The sequence below is a fragment of the Homo sapiens genome, chromosome 4 (genome assembly GCF_000001405.40).
Source record: "Homo sapiens chromosome 4, GRCh38.p14 Primary Assembly".
Lineage (NCBI taxonomy): Eukaryota > Metazoa > Chordata > Mammalia > Primates > Hominidae > Homo > Homo sapiens.
Genome location: NC_000004.12, coordinates 187972091 through 187992012, shown reverse-complemented (window position 1 = coordinate 187992012; position 19922 = coordinate 187972091). Strand labels below are relative to the sequence as shown.

At 43.8% G+C, this 19922-nt stretch overlaps 1 long non-coding RNA gene across 2 annotated transcripts in view, besides 1 other annotated feature; it reads left to right on the top strand.

Moving 5' to 3' along the window:
- LOC124900881 (uncharacterized) overlaps window positions 1-19922 on the top strand; it is a 50716-nt gene that overhangs the window by 867 nt on the left and 29927 nt on the right. The window lies entirely within an intron of this gene.
- Window positions 17745-18245: an enhancer, noted in NCBI's record as "NANOG-H3K4me1 hESC enhancer chr4:188894922-188895422 (GRCh37/hg19 assembly coordinates)". NCBI's record gives its function as "activates a minimal SCP1, AML or CMV promoter by ChIP-STARR-seq in naive H9 embryonic stem cells {active_cell/tissue: H9 hESC(naive)}" and the evidence as "EXISTENCE:reporter gene assay evidence [ECO:0000049][PMID:30033119]".

Sequence of the window (19922 nt, the reverse complement as noted above, 5' to 3'; positions counted from 1 at the left end):
TCTCCCTCTCCCCACGGTCTCCCTCTCCCCACGGTCTCCCTCTCCCTCTCCCCACGGTCTCCCTCTCCCTCTCTTTCCACGGTCTCCCTCTGATGCCGAGCCGAAGCTGGACTGTACTGCTGCCATCTTGGCTCACTGCAGCCTCCCTGCCTGATTCTCCTGCCTCAGCCTGCCGAGTGCCTGCGATTGCAGGCGTGCGCCGCCACGCCTGACTGGTTTTCGTATTTTTTTGGTGGAGACGGGGTTTCGCTGTGTTGGCCGGGCTGGTCTCCAGCTCCTAACCGCGAGTGATCCGCCAGCCTCGGCCTCCCGAGGTGCCGGGATTGCAGACGGAGTCTCCTTCACTCAGTGCTCAATGGTGCCCAGGCTGGAGTGCAGTGGCGTGATCTCGGCTCGCTACAACCTCCACCTCCCAGCCGCCTGCCTTGGCCTCCCAAAGAGCCGAGATTGCAGCCTCTGCCCGGCCGCCATCCCATCTGGGAAGTGAGGAGTGTCTCTGCCCGGCCGCCCCTACTGGGAAGTGAGGAGCCCCTCTGCCCGGCCACCACCCCGTCTGGGAGGTGTGCCCAGCAGCTCATTGAGAACAGGCCATGATGACCATGGCGGTTTTGTGGAATAGAAGGGGGGGAAAGGTGGGGAAAAGATTGAGAAATCGGATGGTTGCTGTGTCTGTGTAGAAAGAAGTAGACATAGGAGACTCCATTTTGTTCTGCACTAAGAAAAATTCTTCTGCCTTGGGATCCTGTTGATCTGTGACCTTACCCCCAACCCTGTGCTCTCTGAAACATGTGCTGTGTCCACTCAGGGTTGAATGGATTAAGGGTGGTGCAAGATGTGCTTTGTTAAACAGATGCTTGAAGGCAGCATGCTCCTTAAGAGTCATCACCACTCCCTAATCTCAAGTACCCAGGGACACAAACACTGCGGAAGGCCGCAGGGTCCTCTGCCTAGGAAAACCAGAGACCTTTGTTCACTTATCTGCTGACCTTCCCTCCACTATTGTCCTGTGACCCTGCCAAATCCCCCTCTGCGAGAAACATCCAAGAATGATCAATAAAAAAAAAATAAAAATAAAAAAATAAAAAATAAAAAAATAAAAAAATAAATGAAACAAAAACAACAACAAAAGAACCCATCTTGCTCCTTTGATATGCGTCACTGTGGTCTAATATAGTATTTTACATTAAGGTATTTTGCAAACTCTGTAGTTGTATTTTTCATTTAAGAAATCTCTCCATGTTATTATTGGCTATGATTTGTAATGCCTTTTTACATGCTTGTTTGATCTTGATAGCACCTTAGGGATTGTTATTATCCATTTTATAGATGAGGAAATGTGAAGTCAGTAGTGACAAATGCCTTATTCAAAGCCCTATAGGTATTAGTTTACAGAGCAGAGTTTAGAACCCAAATCTTGCTATCCTGATACAAAATGTAAAGATAAAGTTAATTTGCCAAGTTCAGTCAGTTGTTTAAAGAGCTTGTTTTTTGTTTTTTTGTTTTTTGTTTTTTGTTTTGGATGGACTCTGGCTCTGTCTCCCAGGCTGGAGTGCAATGGCACAATCTCGGCTCACCGCAACCTCCGCCTCCCTGCCTCCTGGATTCAAGCGATCAAGCGATTCTCCTGCCTCAGCCTCCCGAGTAGCTGGCACTAACAGGCGCCCGCCACCACGCCCGGCTAAGTTTTTGTATTTTTAGTAGAGACGGGGTTTCACCATGTTAGCCAGGATGGTCTTGATCTCCTGACCTTGTGATCCACCTGCCTCGGCCTCCCAAAGTGCTAGGATTACAGGCGTGAGCCACCATAACTGGCCTAAAGAGCTTGTTAAACATATTTTTAGAGTTTCTGTGAAAAAAAGAATAACCCACCAGTCAGTAATGTATGTTTCCACTTGGAATTTGATATCTTAGTAGAGTATGATTTTTAAAAGGCATATTTAACTCTGCTTTTCAAAAAACAATCTAAGTAGAATCTAAAATCTACATGGAAGCCTTTTGGTACTTCACACTGAGAAGAATGAGACTTATCGTCCTGTTGTATATTTTCAAAAACTTTTGTGCTCTTTACATGAAAGCTATAACCATATAAATATGGTCTCATTTGATTATCTGTGAGAATTTAGCAGTGGGTCTAAGTATAGGGCCTAAGGCTATTTTTTAGACCCCAGATTCTCCTCAGACTTTGACAGTGATTTGTTAATGTTATGTTTGGCAGTTTCATAAGATTTTTCCTTCTTTTTTTTAAAGACAGAGTTTCGCTCTTGTTGCCCAGGATGAAGTACAGTGGTGCCATCACGGCTCACTGCAACCTCTGCCTCCCAGGTTCAAGTGATTCTCCTGCCTCAGCTTCCCGAGTAAGCTGGGATTATAAGCGCGGTGCCACCATGCCTGGCTAATTTTGTATTTTTAGTAGAGACGGGGTTTCTCCATGTTGGTCAGGCTGGTCTCGAACTCCTGACCTCAGGTGATCCACCCGCCTTGGCCTTCCAAAGTGCTGGGATTACAGGCATGAGCCACTGCGCCTGGCCAGATTTTTTCTTCTTTTTAAGAATGGACTGTTGCTATGGTTTACATGTTTGTGTCCCTCCAAAAGCCATGCATTGAAACCTGCCCCGATGTGATGGTATCAAGAGGCCTCTGGTAAGTAGTTAAGTCCTGAGGGCTCCGCCCTGGTGAATGGAGTTGGTGTCCTTATAAAGGAGGCGTGGGGGAGCCCTTTTCCCCTCCATCTTATGAGGACACACAGAAGGCACCGTCTGTGAGGAGTGGGCCCTCGGCAGACACCAAATCTGCTGGCACCTTGATCTTGGACTTCTCAGCCTCCAGAATTATGAGCCATACATTTCTGTTGTTTAAAAATTACTTGGCCGGGGGCAGTGGCTCACGCCTGTAATCTCAGCACTTTGGGAGGCCCAGGCAGGTGGATCGCCTGAGGTCAGGAGTTTGAGACCAGCCTGGCCAACATGGTGAAACCTTGTCTCTACTAAAGAGACAATCTTTTGTAAAAATACAAAAGATTAGCCGGGAGTGGTGGCAGGCACCTGTATTCCCAGCTACTCAGGATGCTGAGGCAGGAGAATCGCTTGAACCCGGGAGGCGGAGGTTGCAGTGAGCTGAGATTGTGCTATCGCACTCCAGCGTGGGTGATAAGATGGAAACTTCATCTCAAAAAGATAATAAATAAATATGAATTACTCAAATTTTTTTTTATAGCAGGCTGAACAGACTAAGACAACTATTCCCATAACCTCCCTTTCCCCAAACACCCCTTGCCTTTCTGCTAAGAAACCTACTAAAATTGGGCTTATCTGGAGTAAATTTTCTGAGCTTGCTCCATTTTGTTTTAGACCATCACTCAAATTTTCCCTCAAAATCTTTTGAGTCAACCTCAGACGGTGTGGTCTTTTTTTCTTTTTATTTTGACATACCTTTGGATTTATAGAGGAGTTGCAAAGATAGTACATTGAGTTTCCATATATACTTCACCCAGTTTCCGCTAATGTTAACATCCTACACAACCAATGTACATTTATCAAAATACAGAATCAACAATGGTGCAATCCTGTCAACCAAGCTCCAGACTTTATTTGGTCTTCATCATGCTTTTCCACTCATGTACTTTTTATTTCTTCTAGGATTTGATCCAGGAGGCCATTTTGCATTTAGGACACAGCTAATGCACAGATATGAACTCCACAATCTCATTCCAGTTCTAGCCTAGAAAGTATAATTTACGCCTTGCGATATCCTCGCTAATATCACCCTTTCTATAAAATTTACCACCCTCCCATTCCAAGTTTATACCTTTTACAAGACTCAAATCAAGAATCACCGCTTGTAAGAAAGCCTTTCTTTCAGAAACTTCAATATTATCCCTTCCTACATGGAATTACTTGGCTTTTAGGGATGTATTTTATATCATATCATCAGCCTTTAGATGTCTTTTGTATCCATAATGTGGATTTTAAACCAATACTTTAAAATGCACATCTGTCCAGGAAAATATCATTGAGGCACATTGGAGCCTCCAGGTTTTACAAGGTCTATATAGTCTAAATAGGGAAATTGTAGAACTGGTTATTGTTTTATATTATGTCTGAAATGATGAGAACAAATGATATCAGCCTGTAAATAATACAGGTTCCACCTTATTTGGGCAAAGAAAAAGGTATAAAATAAGCAGTTGTGGGACACACAGTTATGTATAGTTTTCTTTTAATTTTAGGATTTAAATCTATGATTTTCATTATAAGTTGGAACCAATTAGTGGGTAGTGACCAGCATTTTGTAATGGTCAGAAAGGTTTGAAAAATGTGTTTATGTGTGTAATTGGAAATGGATCAATATGAGTAAATATGTGAGCATCAGGGACTCAAACCATATTTGATTTGGAACTTAAATATTTTATCTTCTTCTTTTTTTTTTTTTTTTAGCTGAAAGAATCCACCAAATGTGCCTTAGAACAGGTTGACTTAGGTGATGTAGTCGATATAAAGAAACCAGTGCAGCCCCTCAGCTCTTCAGGCATGCCGTGCTGTCCCATCCCCAGGAAAGTGATGCAGTGAAGCAGTAATGAACTATGTCAGAATTTTCTCCAGCTACATCCATCTTTCTAACTGGCAACAGGGTTTTTGCATTTGTCTTTCTTCTGTCTGAAATTCTATGTCCCAGATTATTCCAAGCATTCTGATCTCAGCTTAAGTGTGACATCGGGGCCAATGTGCCTGAGTTGACTCAGTCAATCTCTATCATATCCCCTTGGCTTATTTTCTTCGTGACCCTTTTCACTACAGATGGTATTAGTAGCCCTAATGTTGGGGATGAGTATAGGTAGAAGAGAGGGCAGCCCAGGATCAAACTCGAATTACCCAATTTACAAGTGCAGTCTTTGAACAGCAAAGGACAAAGGAGGAGGTAAGTGAGGAGCAAGCAGTAAATCAGAATGCAAGAGAGGCGCAAACAGGCTTGGAGGACTGTGCCTATCGTGAACTAAGAGGCAGGGACCTTGGTTTCAGTGGATTTTCTGCAGGGTACTGATAAAGCTTCACCACTGCTGAGAGTCCTTTCTCTAATGAATGCAAACAAGGAGTAGGTATCCAATGGGGTTCTGGGTGTACCTTTATTCTTTTCTTAAGAAAGAGTCAAGAAAAAAAAAAGAGTCAAGAAACCACTGTCATGGAAGGATGCTAAAAGTATGTCTTGCTGGCCCAATCCAGGAGCTCTTCAGGACTTGGAATGCGTCTCCCCTGTGCCTTCCCGGGTATAACCCCTAGGAGGTGATTCTCCTTCCCCCAGCCCGTAGGGTTTCACCCAGAAAGGTCAATCATACATTTCAAGAAGGGAAAGTGATTTTTGAAATTGTCATAGAAAAGAATTCTCAAATTCTCTGGTTCCATCTTGGACCACAACCCTCAGTCCTTTTTCTGAACTCTTCCCCTGTGTGAAGCCCCATTTCTTTACCAGCATCATATTCTTACTGTGTGAGTCCTAGTCCTGTGGGTTAAATCTCTTTAATGTGCCTAAATATTCTTTTCCTTCCTGTCTCTGTGTCTTCCTTGTGTTTCTTTTACCTGCAAGCCTTTTCACAGGTCTATTTCAGGACATTAGATTGCTGTTTTTGTTAATATGCTTTTTCCTACTTACAGTGTGTTCGGAGAGAAAGTAAAATTGTATATTTAGTATCTTTTCAATGTTACCACTTTAATTATTTCTAATAACATTCAATGGCTTATGCTTTCTCAAGCAAAGGGGTCTCTAGGCATTGATATGTCCCCCTATAGAAGTGCCAAGGTCTCTAAGCTGACTCTTCACATCTAATTTCTTATCTTTCCAATCCATCATTTTTATTGCAACCACCTATTTTCCTAAAACACTAATGAGATCGTATCTTTTGCCTCCGTTAACAATTTTTAATGGATTCTAAAGCATACGTACCCACACCCCCCGTCCAAACACTTTAGCTTTTTTTTTGACAACCACACTAATCTGGTTCCAATCTCTTTTTCCGCTTTTCCCGCTAAATATTAAACTATGCCAGAGGTCTTCAATCTATGGCAGATGTTCCAAAGTTGGCCTGCCATGAGCTATGAAAAGTTTTTACATTTTTAAATGTTTGAACAAAAAATCAAAAGAAAAATAATATTTCATAACATTAAAAATTATATAAAATTAAAAGTTCAGTAACCGTAAATAAGATGTTATTGAACAGAGCCATGCCCATTCCTTTATCTGTGAGATATATCTGCTTTTTTTTGTTTTCTTCTAGATGGAGTCTTGCTCTGTCACCCAGGCTGGAGTGCAGTGGCACAATCTCGTCTCACTGCAACCTCCGCCTCCCAGGTTCAAGCTATTCTGCCTCAGCCTCCTGAGTAGCTGGGATTACAGGTGCCCACCACTGCGCCTGGCTAATTTTTTTTTTTGTATTTTTTAGTAGACATGGTGTTTCACCATGTTGGCAAGGCTGGTCTTGGATTCCTCACCTCGTGATCCACCCACCTTGGCCTCTCAAAGTGCTAGGATTACAGGCGTGAGCACCACGCCTGGCCATATCTGCTTTTTTGCTACAATGGTAGAGTTGAGGAATTGTGACACAAAATCTAAAATACTTATTATCTGGCCCAGAAAGAGTTAACTGACCTCTGAACTACTCAATCTTATGAGCAGGTCTAGCTCTTTTTGCAAAAATGCTGCTGTTACGTATCATTAGGACTGAGCCAGTTACTCCATTTTATCCCAGTCATGGCAGGTGGCGAGGCAGACACCCCCAGGTCATCCTCCCACACTGGAGTCTCATCCTCACATGGCTCTGTACATTTCCTGGGATGACCCAGGCTCAAAACCCTGCAGAATCCCCCAAATTCTTCCTCTGTGTCTTCTGATCCCCTTGGCAGTTATCAGCAAAATATTTTGCATCCCTAAATTCTTCATCTTTTGGTCCTAACCGACCCGAGGACGTGGCTTCCCCTGAAGCAGGGTCGGGTGGAGGCTGCTTTCTCTTTAGATGTCACCCCCATGGGTAAGTGTTGTTCCCATTGTTCACGCTCGACCTTTCTGCTTCCTACACCTGTCAGCAGGCAGCTCGTCGGCAGCTGAAGCTCTCAGACGACACTGGCCACCACTCCCTTTTGAGGCAGTCACATGTTAAATGCCCAGTGCTAATCTCACATCCACATGGATCCTTCTTCTGATAGATTGTTCTGGGTTTTTTTGTTTTTTGTGTGTTTTTTTTTTTGTTTTTTGTTTTGTTTTTTTTTTTTGTTTTTTGTTTTTTGGTGGAGTCTCTGTTGCCCAGGCTGGAGTGCAGTGGTGTGATCTTGGCTCACTGCAACCTCCGCCTCCAGGGTTCAAGCGATTCTCCTGCCTCAGCTTCCCGAGTAGCTGGGATTACAGATGTGCACCACCATGCCCAGCTAATTTTTGTATTTTTAGTAGAGACGGGGTTTTACCATGTTGGCCAGGCTGGTCTCAAACTCCTTGACCTCAGGTGACTCACCCACCTTGGCCTCCCAAAGTGTTGGGATTACAGGCATGGGCCGCCATCCCTGGGCGATGGATTATTCTTGACGTCCTCACCTTGACATCCTCAGCTACTGTAGGGTCTGCACTCGTCATTATCTGTAACTGTACCCCATTCGGATTCTCAGTTGAAAGCATCCAGCTCTGTATCTCCCAGGCTTCCTGTCTCACTTCTAGCACTTCCACCCCACAATCTGCCATACAGGGACCCGGAATCCGGTGGCCCAATTTTTTTCACTGTGTCTTAACTGCTCAAGTCTTTATTTCCTATCTGACCTGCCTTGGCTTACCTGGCCCGTCATTTTATTAATTCCCTTACATGTACAGTTTATAATGCTTTATCCCAAGCTCTAAGGGCACAGATGTTTCCAAATTCAGATTTTAAAAAAATTGTAGAAAGATAATCAGTTCTACTGTTATGTAGTATCTCAAATAAGTGGGATCAGTAAAGGCTCTAAATAGCTTTGTGTCTATTCAGGCTGAGTTTCACTGCCAAATGAGTTTTGGATAACCACCAACAACCAACTTGTATTTTCAAAGCTCTTTTGGATTTTGGAATTGCACATAGAGATTGTAGACCTGGACCTTAAGCTTCCTTGCACCATTTTCAGTCCATTTACTCCCCAGTAAAGCTGCCAGCCTGATTAAATGCAACTCTGCCACCTCTGAGCTTGCATCCAAGCAGCTGAACAAAATGTACAACTGAGAGTCTCCCATGAAATCATAACCGGTAACTGCGGGTGGACCCTTAGTCATGGCGATGAAAGCGTCTCACCAAGCCTCAGATATTCTCGCTGCCTTCTAGAAGCACTCACAGTGCTTGTGGAGATGCTTTCGCCTTCCTAACACAACAGTACACTCACGCCTGAACGATTTTTCTTTTCTTTCTTTACATTACGGTGAAGGAATTATGTTGATTCAAAAATGTGTGTGTAGGTAGGTTACATAAACTATTATTTTATTTTCACAATGGTAGCAAGGTTGTTAAAAGCATGTGTTATAAAAAGGGTCATGGGCCGGGCGCGGTGGCTCACACCTGTAGTCCCAGCACTTTGGGAGGCCGAGGTGGGCAGATCACCTGAGGTCGGGAGTTTGAGACCAGCCTGACCAACATGGAGAAACCTCGTCTCTACTAAAAATACAAAATTAGATGGGTGTGGTGGCTCATGCCTATAATCCCAGCTACTCGGGAGGCTGGGGCAGGAGAATCGCTTGAACCCGGGAGGCGGAGGTTGCAGTGAGCCGAGATCGCGTCATTGCACTCCAGCCTGGGCAATAAGAGCGAAACTCCGTCCCAAAAAACAAAAACAAAAACAAAACAAAAAGGGTCATGGGTCTCATGGGGTTGAGGACCACTGCCCTAGTCAATTTACTTCCTCATGATTCTTTCATACTGCTGCCTCTTCCTCTTCCCAGTCCTAGCAGCTAAGTGCCTTACTGCATTGAGAAATAACAACAGAAGAGAACCCCTGTGCAGCGTCCAGCTCACCTGCCTCTATGCGCAGGAGCTTTCTGCTGCCCCTGGTAACATGCACGAACTGGCTGGGCTTCCCTCCAGAGCTGCCCCTTCACTGATCGCTGCGTGCCCCTTTCTCCACGCTACTCAAGGACGATGTTCAGTTATCCCGCTCCCCATTTTGACTTTCCCCCTCTGAACGCTGAATCATCCCCATTGGCATACAATGCTGCGATAGCATGAATCTTAAAAATAATATCCTTGGTCCCACATCCTCCTCTAGTTACTTTGCTCACCCAGTCCTTTTCATTGCTCCTTTTAATATAAAACTCCTGAAATACTCTCTTCCTTTGCTATTCAAATTGTGATCCATCAGTGACATCAATGTCACCCGCCATTGTGGTAGAAATTCAGACTCTCAGTTTCCACCCAGGACCTATAAATCAGAAACTGCACTCCAGCAGGATCTCCAGGATTCACAGTGACTTTAAAGTTTGAGAAGCCCTGGGCTGTGGTGCCAATTTTCAGTTCTCCTTGCATATTTCTCTTGAATCCACTTTGATAAACCTTTTCTTTCTCCCCTTCGCGGAAACATCTGTGCTCCCAGCCACCACACCACCTCCACAATGTTCAAACCAAAGGTCAGGTTTTGTTGTTCATCTTGCTGGACCTGTGCGTCCTCTGACATGGTTGAAATCTGCATTTCTTGTGCATTATCACCTTCAAGGCTATTAACCAGGTTGTGCAGGGGCAGAGCCCTTGAGCCTCTTCTTTCCTCCACTTCCTCCCTAAGTGTCTTACCCGGTTCTATGGCCTTTCGTACTGTCTATGGATATGGCTCCTCTGTTTCCTATTTCAAGCCTTAGTTCAAATACAGACTGCTCATGGGAACATTTACAGATTCTCTTGGCCAAGATCAGTCACCCTTCCTTCAAAGTGATTATTTTCGTTACCCTGTACTTCCAGTTTCTCACTTTTTCCATTTTACTTTGTGTTTATTTGTAAGCTCCTTGACAACAAAATCCATGTCATATTCATCTCTACAGACCCATATTTCATCTGTTTATACACATATAAACATTTATTCTCATGTTATAAGTGCTCAGTAAGTGCTTATCAAAGAAAATATTCCCTCCTTTCCAGGAATAAATGATTAGTTGTAATGTTCTACAGATAATTTTCTCCCGGATCATGGAAATCTATACTGACTGTCTGCCCTGTATCCCCGATAAGCCAATCCTCATGCAGGCAGTCTCCATCAATCTTTTTTTGGAAAGAGCTAAAAATGATGACAAAAACAGGAGGTAATTGTGCACCACTGTATTTGCAAAGTGGCCTTTTCAGACACGCTCAGTGAGACCCAGGGAACACGGAACACACAACTGCAACTCTCAGGAAAGCAGTCTACAGAGCAAATCATGACTATTAGATCATTAGAACCTCTTCTTTCAGACCTTTCTGAGGCTGGCACCTTCTTGTCATTTACATCTCAGCTCTGATGAGATCACTCCAGGGAGGCTTTCCCCAGTTACCCTATCCAAAGTAGTGCTTCTTAGTCCCATTGAATTATGCTGTTTTATTTTTGTCATTTACTTTTGACTCTCTGAAATTATTTATTTTTTATGTTTTTATTGTTCATTTCCTACCCTTTTGGGGTCTGAGCTTTGTAGCTTCAGGGACCTTGCTTGTCTTGTGTTCTATGCTTATCAGTAAACAGTACATGAAACAGTGCCAAGTATGTAGTGTGTGCTTAGTAAATATTTATTGAATGAATGAATGAATGTAGCTTGAGAACACTGGAAATGTTCTTTGGCTCTGAAGCCCATCTTCAGACAATTGAATTATAAATCTTATATTAAAACTTGGTAGGCCAGGGGTGGTGGCTCACACCTGTAATCCCAGCACTTTGGGAGGCTGAGGTGGGCAGAACACTTGAGGCCAGGAGTTTGAGACTAGCCTGGCCAACATGGTGAAACCCCATTTCTACTAGAAATACAAAAATTGGCTGGGTGTGGTGGTGCGTGTCAGTAGTCCCAGCTACTTGGGAAGCTGAGGTGGGAGCATTGCTTGAGCCTGAGAGGTGGAGGCTGCAGTGAGCCAAGACTGCACCACTGCACTCCAACTTGGGTGACAGATTGGGACTCTGTTGCAAAAGAACAAAAACAAAAAACAAAAAAACCTTGGTGATGAGGAGATAAGGAGAAAGGGGAAGAATACTGACTGCCTATGAAAGGTTTAGAGATAAGTCTTTTAGAACTTGAAATGGTGGCTGGGTGCAGTGGCTCAAACCTGTAATCCCAGCACTTTGGGAGGCTAAGGCAGGCAGATCACCTAAGGTCAGGAGTTCGAGACCAGCCATGGCCAACATGGTGAAACCCCATCTCTACTAAAAACACAAAAATTAGCCAGGCGTGGTGGCACACGCCTGTTATCCCAGATACTCGGGAGGCTGAGGCTGCAAGAGAATCTCTTGAACCCAGGAGGCAGAGGTTGCAGTAAGCCGAGATCATTCCACTGCACTCCAGTCTGGGCAATAGAGTGAGACTCTGTTGCAAAAACAAACAAACAAACACTTGAAATGGTAAATGCTTTCGAAACTATCTACCAAACTAAGAAGAAAATATTTTACAGGGGACTTTGGAGTAGGTATTCAACAAATATTCATTGATGGATTGATTTGGCTATTTATTTGGCAGAAGTGATATATAAGTTACTAGTATAATTTAACTCCCAGAGCCTGTGTTTGGAACCTGAAAACCCTACAAAGGGTTACAATAGACTATTTTAAACCAATGTACAATTTCAGATCAGCAACACTGACATTACCTGGGAGCTTGACAGGAATGCAGAATTTCAGCCTTCACTCCAGAATTACTGAAGTAAATTAAAATTTTAATAAAATACCCAAGTAATTCATATGCACATTTAAGTTTCAGGAGCCATGCAGTAGAAACCATGTCTATGGATAGAGAAGCTGAATCCAATAAAGTGAAACAAATGGCTGTTAGTAAGAGTGGATAATGAGAGTGGTATGGGGCAAAGATTGAAGCTGAGAGTGGGGGGTGTCCTTTAACCCATAAAGAGTGGGTTAAAGGAAACAAGTTATCTAAACAAGGCTTATATGGTACTTATTTTTATTTATTTGTTTATTTATTTTTTGAGACAGAGTCTCCCCCTGTCGCCCAGGCTGGAGTGCAGTGGCGTGATCTCGGCTCACTGCAAGCTCCGCCTCCCGGGTTCACTCCATTCTCCTGCCTCAGCCTCCCAAGTAGCTGGGACTACAGGCACCCGCCACCACGCCTGGCTAATTTTTTTATTTTTAGTAGAGATGGGGTTTCACCGTGTTAGCCAGGATGGTCTCAATCTCCTGACCTTGTGATCCGCCCACCTCGGCCTCCCAAAGTGCTGGGATTACAGGCGTGAGCCACCGCGCCCAGCCTATGGTACTTATTTTTACTGCATGGTGAAAATAAGCAACTTGGTTGAAGAGACATCATTGAATCTGTTACCAAAACGCCAGGGCTTCAGTGTAGGTCCTGCTGTTCGCTGTACAGAAAGCCAATGACTGAGACGATGAGTATCTCCAAGAAAGAAGCTTTAATCAGGTGCTGCAGCAGAGGAGATGGGAGATCAGCCTCAGATCCGTCTCCCTGACCAACCAAAGCTGGAGGTTATATAGCAAGGAAGAAATGTAACCCTGTGTGGGAGAACAGGAGTTAGGAAAGGATAAGTAGAGAGAGTTGGTCAACAGGAAGCCGGTGGCCGTTTAGGTAGTCATGATGGGTGAGGGGTCTGGCATCTCATTGTCAAGAGGCAGTGATCTGGTGAGTTTCAGCTCCTTGATACTATCTAGGAAGCCTGATGGTTGGTTTCCTGAGAAAGGAACTCAGAAAAGACAAATGGGACTGTCTCAAATTTTAAGACTGGGAAGGTCAATTTCTATGTGGATTCAAAAGAAACCGTAAGCATCAGTTCTATAAGACAATTGGGCTAGTTTCAAGTCCTGTGACTAGTCTAAGATAGCACAGGTGTTTGGCATTCCATAGAGAAAGGAGGACAGCAAAGCTATTCTCTCAGTGGATTATAGTGAGCCACCCTGCCCGGCTAATTTTTGTATTTTTAGTGGAGATGGGGTTTTGCCACGTTGGCCAGGCTGGTCTCGAACTCCTGATCTCTGGTGATCCACCTGCCTTGGCTTCCCAAAGAGCTAGGATTGCAGGCATGAGCCACCGTGTCTGGCCACATTTTTTTTTCATATTGACAGTTTTAATTGTCTAATGATGCTTCATGAATCTTCTTAAGGCTTTTCAGTACCTTTATGGGAGAATGTGAGTCAGAAGGTGACAGGTCTGGTTCTAGGCAGTACGTTAATTTTAGCCACAAAGGAGGCAGAAGGAAGGCAAAGGTTTGGAGAAAGGGAGAAAAAACTTCACCTGAGGGAGGCTGTGAGTGGAGCAATAAGGGTTGTTGAAATAGTATCAGAAGAGTTTGGCTTTCTTCTTGTTGAGGAAGAACATAAATTGTTTCACTGATGTTATCTGGGAAAGAAGAAAGGAACTGAAACTGTGTTCAAGTAGGCCTTTGGATTTGGGCAGAGGACTCATATCCTGAAAAAAAAATTCAAGAATAAATAGATCTATGCTTATTTGCCTAGATCTGGGGAGTTGCGGTGATTTACTAATGCACTATATTGCCATGACCTCTTCATGAAGTCACTTGAAGCTTTCCTATATTTTTAATTAGAAGTCATTTAGTCGGTCCCTCATTTTCCTGGCAGCAATAGACTTAAATGGCTATAGAATGAAAAATGCATGAGGAGTGGTCACTTCTCCTTCAAACATCCCAGAAAGACCAAGGAGAAATAATCACTCTCTGCATATCAGAGATTTTCTGAAGCAGTGGTTGGAGAAATGGGAAAAGCCTTCTCCCAGTGTCTCTTCTGTTTCAACAGTTCGCCTGACACAGGTCCGTATATAGTGCTTTGTATGAAGCCAAGCATTTCTTGGCTATTCAGACCCTGCAATGACTGCGGTCATTGAATCCTCCTGGCTTTGAATCAAAACATGGAGAGTCTCAAGTTAGGAAGGCCAGCTTCAAGCCTCCGTTGCTGCTGCCGACTTTCCACTCAAGCCCACGCTGTCAACCTGGGTGGACTTGCACTGGGGAGGGGAAGTGGGGGAGTGGAGAGGACCTTTTGTGGGTCTAATCATGGTGCATCCTTTCCCGATAATCTCACAAGCATTTACCTCTGACTTTTCTTATAAATTATCAAGGTCTAGCGGCAAGGTGTTTCAGTCCCCCCTGCTGCCATAACAAATTACCACATACTGGGAGGCTTACATCACACAATGGCATCTCCTCACAATGCTGGAGCTGGAAGACTGAGGACAGGGTGTCAGTAGGGTTGGCTCCTTCTCCAGCCTCTCTCTTTGGCCTGTAGATGGCCGAATTCTCCTTGTGTCTCCACTCAGTCCTCTGTCTGTGTGTATCTGTGTCCCTGTTTCCTCTTCGTATAAGGATGCCAGTCAGATTGGATGAGGGACCACCCTAATAACCTAACTTTAACTTAATTACTTCTTTAAAGATCTTATTGCCAGATGCAGACACATTCTGAGTCACTGGGAATTAGAAATTTAATTTTCTTTTTTTTGTAGAGACGAGGTCTCACTATGCTTCTCAGGCTGGTCTCAAACTCCTGGCCTTGAGCCGTCCTCCCACCTTGGCATCCCAAAGTGCTGGGATTACAGGCGTGAGCCAGTATGCCCAGCAGATTAAGACTTCTGCATGTAAATTTGGGTGAGGGGATATAACTCAGCCATAACACAAGGCAAACACTGTATCAGGTATAAAGACCAGACACCAAGCGGCAGACTTCCAAGGCAGAGTCAGGGAAAATGGAGCCCCATGTTGCGCCACTGTCAGCCTCTCCGCCTCCCTGAACTCCCGGCACTCAGGCTCTCTTGCCACCAGAGGGATTAGAAAAGCAAATAAGAAGACTGCTTCCTGTGAACACTTGCCTCTAATTTACTGTCCATTTTCTACAAGATTTCCTTATTAGTATGAGCTGACTGGGAGAGTTTTAGATGGGCTGCCCCGGTGGTGGTCAAATGGTGCCCTTCACAAATCCAACCCAAGCTCTGCTCTTTGAGCTGTGGGCCAGGTACACTTGTGAGGAAGGGCATCTTTTTCTTCGTGTAAAGCACTGAGGGAGAAGCAAAGGAAAAATCAGTTAGGTAAACAGTTAAGGCTGGTCCTTGGAGAAGCAGCCTGCCTGAAAAATCGCAGCTACAGGCAAAAATAGAGCAGCCTGGGGAAAACTGAGGCTGCACCTGCACAGGCAAGCACGCAAGGTCCGGCACAGAAGCCTTTTGTTCTTCGTGTGATTAACCAGCTCCCAGGGAAAAGTTTCCCCTTCTTTTCAGACAAGTACACGGTGGGCTCCGTGGGAACTTGCACAGAGAGGAGGGGGCTTCCCTAAAACAAACCCACAGTTACACGGACAAGAGAAGCGGTGCATTGTGCTTGCCTAGAGTCATATCCGCAACTACGTGGATAAGGGGTGGGGTTTACAGACAGCTTTTCACATAAGAGAAGTTACTCAAACAGCTACATAGATGAGAGGAGTTTCTTCTAAAAGCTTTTGGACTCAACTGTAAAAACGGCAGCCCACTCAGGCTCCCCTTTGCACAGTGGAGAGCTTGGTTTTTTTGCTCATTAAACTTTTGCTCCAACCTCACTCTGTGTCCACGCTCCTTAATTCTTTTGGTTGTGAGACAACGAGCTTGGATAACACCTTGGACAATGAGACCAGTGTCCCTGACCTGTTTCAGCACCATCTATCCAGGGGCCTCATCCATCCAGAGGGCGCACTTTTTCTAATACATGCCACGGGGAGGCCCACCTTCTCGTTTTTTTTTTTTTTAGAGGTAATTTCTCACTCTGTCACCCAGGCTGGAGTGCAGTGGCACAATCATGGCTCACTGCAACCTTGACCTCCTGGGCTCAAGAGATCCTCCCACCTCAGCCTCCTGAGTAGCTGGACTACAGGTGCACGCCACCATGCCTGGCTATTTTTCTTTTTCTAATTTTTTAAACTTTTATTTTAGATTTAGGGTAGATGTGCAGATTTGTTACATAGGTAAACTTATGTCACGGGGTTTGTTGTACAGATTATTTCATCACCCAGGAACTAAGCGGAGATTCTGTTATTTTTCCTTATCCTCTCCCTCCTCCCACTCTCCACCCTCAGAGTCCCCAGTGTGTGTGTGTTCCCCTCTTTGTGTCCACATGTTCTTATCAATTAGGTCTCACTTATAAGTGAGAATATGTGCTATTTGGTTTTCTGTTCCTGCTTTAGTTTGCTAAGAATAATAGTGGGGGGGGGCCCATCTTAATATTCCTGCAAAATCATCATATAGGCTCTGCTCGGAGGTTCATTTAGTCCTTTTTTTTGCCTTCTGGAAGCAAAACATCTAAAATAGAAAAAAATGATTATTGTGTTCAGGAAATCCTCTGAAGCCATTCTCAGTGAAGCTTCAATTTGGTCTGTGAAGAGCGGTGTAGCCGAGGTTCAGGAGAGGAAACTTTCTTTTTTTTTTTTATTGTTAAATATATTCCTAAGAATATTTTAATCACTGTTATGTACATCTTTTGTTACATCATTATATCTATCATTTGATTGTTTGTATATTGGAAAGCTACTACTTTATTTTACACTAACTTTTTTTTTTTTAGTATTTATTGATCATTCTTGGGTGTTTCTCGGAGAGGGGGATGTGGCAGGGTCATAGGATAATAGTGGAGGAAAGGTCAGCAGATAAACACGTGAACAAAGGTCTCTGGTATTCCTAGGCAGAGGACCCTGCGGCCTTCCGCAGTGTTTGTGTCCCTGGGTACTTGAGAGTAGGGAGTGGTGATGACTCTTAACGAGCATGCTGCCTTCAAGCATCTGTTTAACAAAGCACATCTGGCACCGCCCTTAATCCATTTAACCCTGAGTGGACGCAGCGCATGTTTCAGAGAGCACAGGGTTGGGGGTAAGGTTATAGATTAACAGCATCCCAAGGCAGAAGAATTTTTCTTAGTACAGAACAAAATGGAGTCTCCTATGTCTACTTCTTTCTACACTGACACAGCAACAATCTGATCTCTCTTTCTTTTCCCCACATTTCCCCCTTTTCTATTTGACAAAACCGCCATTGTCATCATGGCCCGCTCTCGATGGTCGCTGTCTCTGTTGGGTACACCTCCCAGACGGGGCGGCTGGGCAGAGGTGCTAGGAGAGGAAACTTTCTTGATGAGCATGATAAAAAGCTTCCAACTCAAAGGCAAGATTCCTACAGAGGGCCTGTTACTGCTCATCTTACCCATGTTTTCACTCAGCTGCCTGACTCTTAGAGAATACTGGGGTTTCAACAAAAATTATTTCACTTGTATAACTTTTGCTATTTTTTGGATAGGTAGTATAGTTACATGTATTCAAATTTTCAAAATCTCATGCCTGAAATTTCAAAATGTATGAAAGTCTCTGCAGCCAGACACCATCTGAGGGGCTCAGCCCTGCTAAAAGTGTGGGTCATGGCCCAGCTGTGTCAGCATCATCTTGTTGGAAATGCAGACCCTGCCCTCGACCTGCTGAATCAGAATCTGCATTTTAATAAAATCCAGGCGATCCGTAAAAATGGAGGACTGTTGTGGATGCGTGAGTGTAAACATTGCGAACAGTGATCCATAAAAATCCAGGACTGTTGTAGATGCGTGAGGGTAAACATGGCGAACCCGAGTCTTCGTGGGCGTAAACGTCGCGAACCTGAGTCTTGGCTACAGCGCTTTCTCAATACCAGCACGGGAAGGCAGCCCAAGTTCAACTACGTCTTATTAGCACCCATGTCTTAGGATTGCCTAATTTACAAATCCGTAACACCAACCTACAGCCACATGGGTTAGTCAACAGAGCCGGCAGGTGGATGGATGTCTAAGATCAACGCAATGAGTTTCACTAGCTTTGTTGCATAGAGCTAATCTGAGCAAGTGTATGAATACAACCCTCCACCCCACAAAACAACTGATCACATGAAGAGGCCTACTTCAGGGGATACAAGTGGCCACAGTTTGAAAGTTCTTGCTCACTTAGAGGAGTGTGAGGAGAGAGAGAATATTGTCCTACTTTTCTTCTACTATTAAAAGGTCACTTATAGTTTTTGAGTTTCTGTTTGAAGGCTCTAGAACTGATTCTGATGAATGTCCTATAATAACTCATCCTCCATTTCTACAAGGGAAGAAAAGAATACTGCAAAGCCTCTACCTAGAAGTTAGAGTATCACGGCCTAACCTCTATCTCAAACAAATACGTGTGTGTTGTGGTAGGCATTAATAGATTTAATTTAGTACTGGATGCTCCTTTTGCTAATTTGGATAATCCTTCAATGAATATAAGTAAGTTGAAAAGCAAATTATGCTTGGTTTCCACTTATTAAATGCAACCCAGTGCTGTGAATATAATGTCAGTTACTGTAGGTCTTAGGCATCCATAATTTCCAAGGACTGTTTCTGCATATATGAGTAAATACTTATATATTCTGTCCCCTCTCTGTCTCACGAAAGGGAGCTTGTTCAAGGCTGTGGGTCCCTTGACCCCAACCTTTCCATTTGTATACATTCTCTCATTTCTGCTGCAAGGACTGACTGTGTGGACGCTCAATTGTGAAGCAGTGTCAGGCATAGAAGCTTTGTTTAGCTGGACTTTGAGCTCCATCAGAGCTGCCTGGGTGAGACCCTCAAGGCTTAAATTATGATAAATGAGACAAAAATGTTATTTGCTGCTCTTTTCTGAAGTCACAAAATAACTTATTTTAAAATTATTATGAATCTGTTTTCTAAAAGGGATAATACATGTAAATGGTACAAACAGTAAAATGAAACAAGGTCAATGGTAAAAGGAAGTCTTTTACCCTTGACCTCAAGTCATCTAGTTTTCTTCCCAAGGGCAACTAACGTTACATTGTCTTCTGCAGCTTTTGTAGTCCCTCATCCAGGTGTCTCTTGCTTTGCTTCCAAGAAGGCAATTTATCACAAAAGAGCAACAGATTGCATTAAACAGTTCTATTTTCTACAGTGGGAGACTTCATAGCTTTCTAAAACTTCCAGGTCTAAACCTGGGAGACAGTGCCCGCAGACTGGCTTTTTAGGAATAAAGGAAACTCCACAGATCCTTGCATGCACTGGGTTGTTCCATATAGAATTAATCCTGCTTCTATTGATGGAGCAAATATTTATTTACAAAATTCCTCTGCTTCTTACTGAGACAGGCATTGAGAAACAGAATGATACGGCCCCTTAGGGCTACCAGTAAAAACCAGTGAGTTCATGGAACATTTCTCATCCTTCACAATGACCTCTCATGTCTTTTTTAGAAGTATCCTCTAAGTTCCTGATTCCAAATTAGTTTGGGTAACACATACAGAAACTGAAAGTGATTTAGGCAACCGCAATTTTAAATATTAACATTTACGTCAAAATAGACATTGATACATTGTGTATTTTTTTTCAGTTTTAACAAAGGATTTTATTTGTTGTTCCCTAAAAAGTAAAATCCAGAACATAGCAAAACCTACTGCAAGAAGAGTTCTACAATAAAACATTTTCAGTCATTCTCTCTTCCTGTCTCATGGTGTACTCTTTCATGTACACGTCATCAGAAAGCAGACTGATAAAGGCAAACCCTGTGTGAAAGGCACATGGCACTAGGATTGCTCACCCCTGCTACACCTCCTTGGAAGCCAAGGGAAGCCTTTTCTGCAGTCTCCCCATTTTGACAGAAACTTATCACAATTTTTTTTTTTTTTTTTTTTGAGATGAAGTCTCACTCTGTTGCTCAGGTTGGAGTGCAGTGGCGCGATCTCGGCTCACTGCAAGCTCCGCCTCCCGGGTTCACACCATTCGCCTGCCTCAG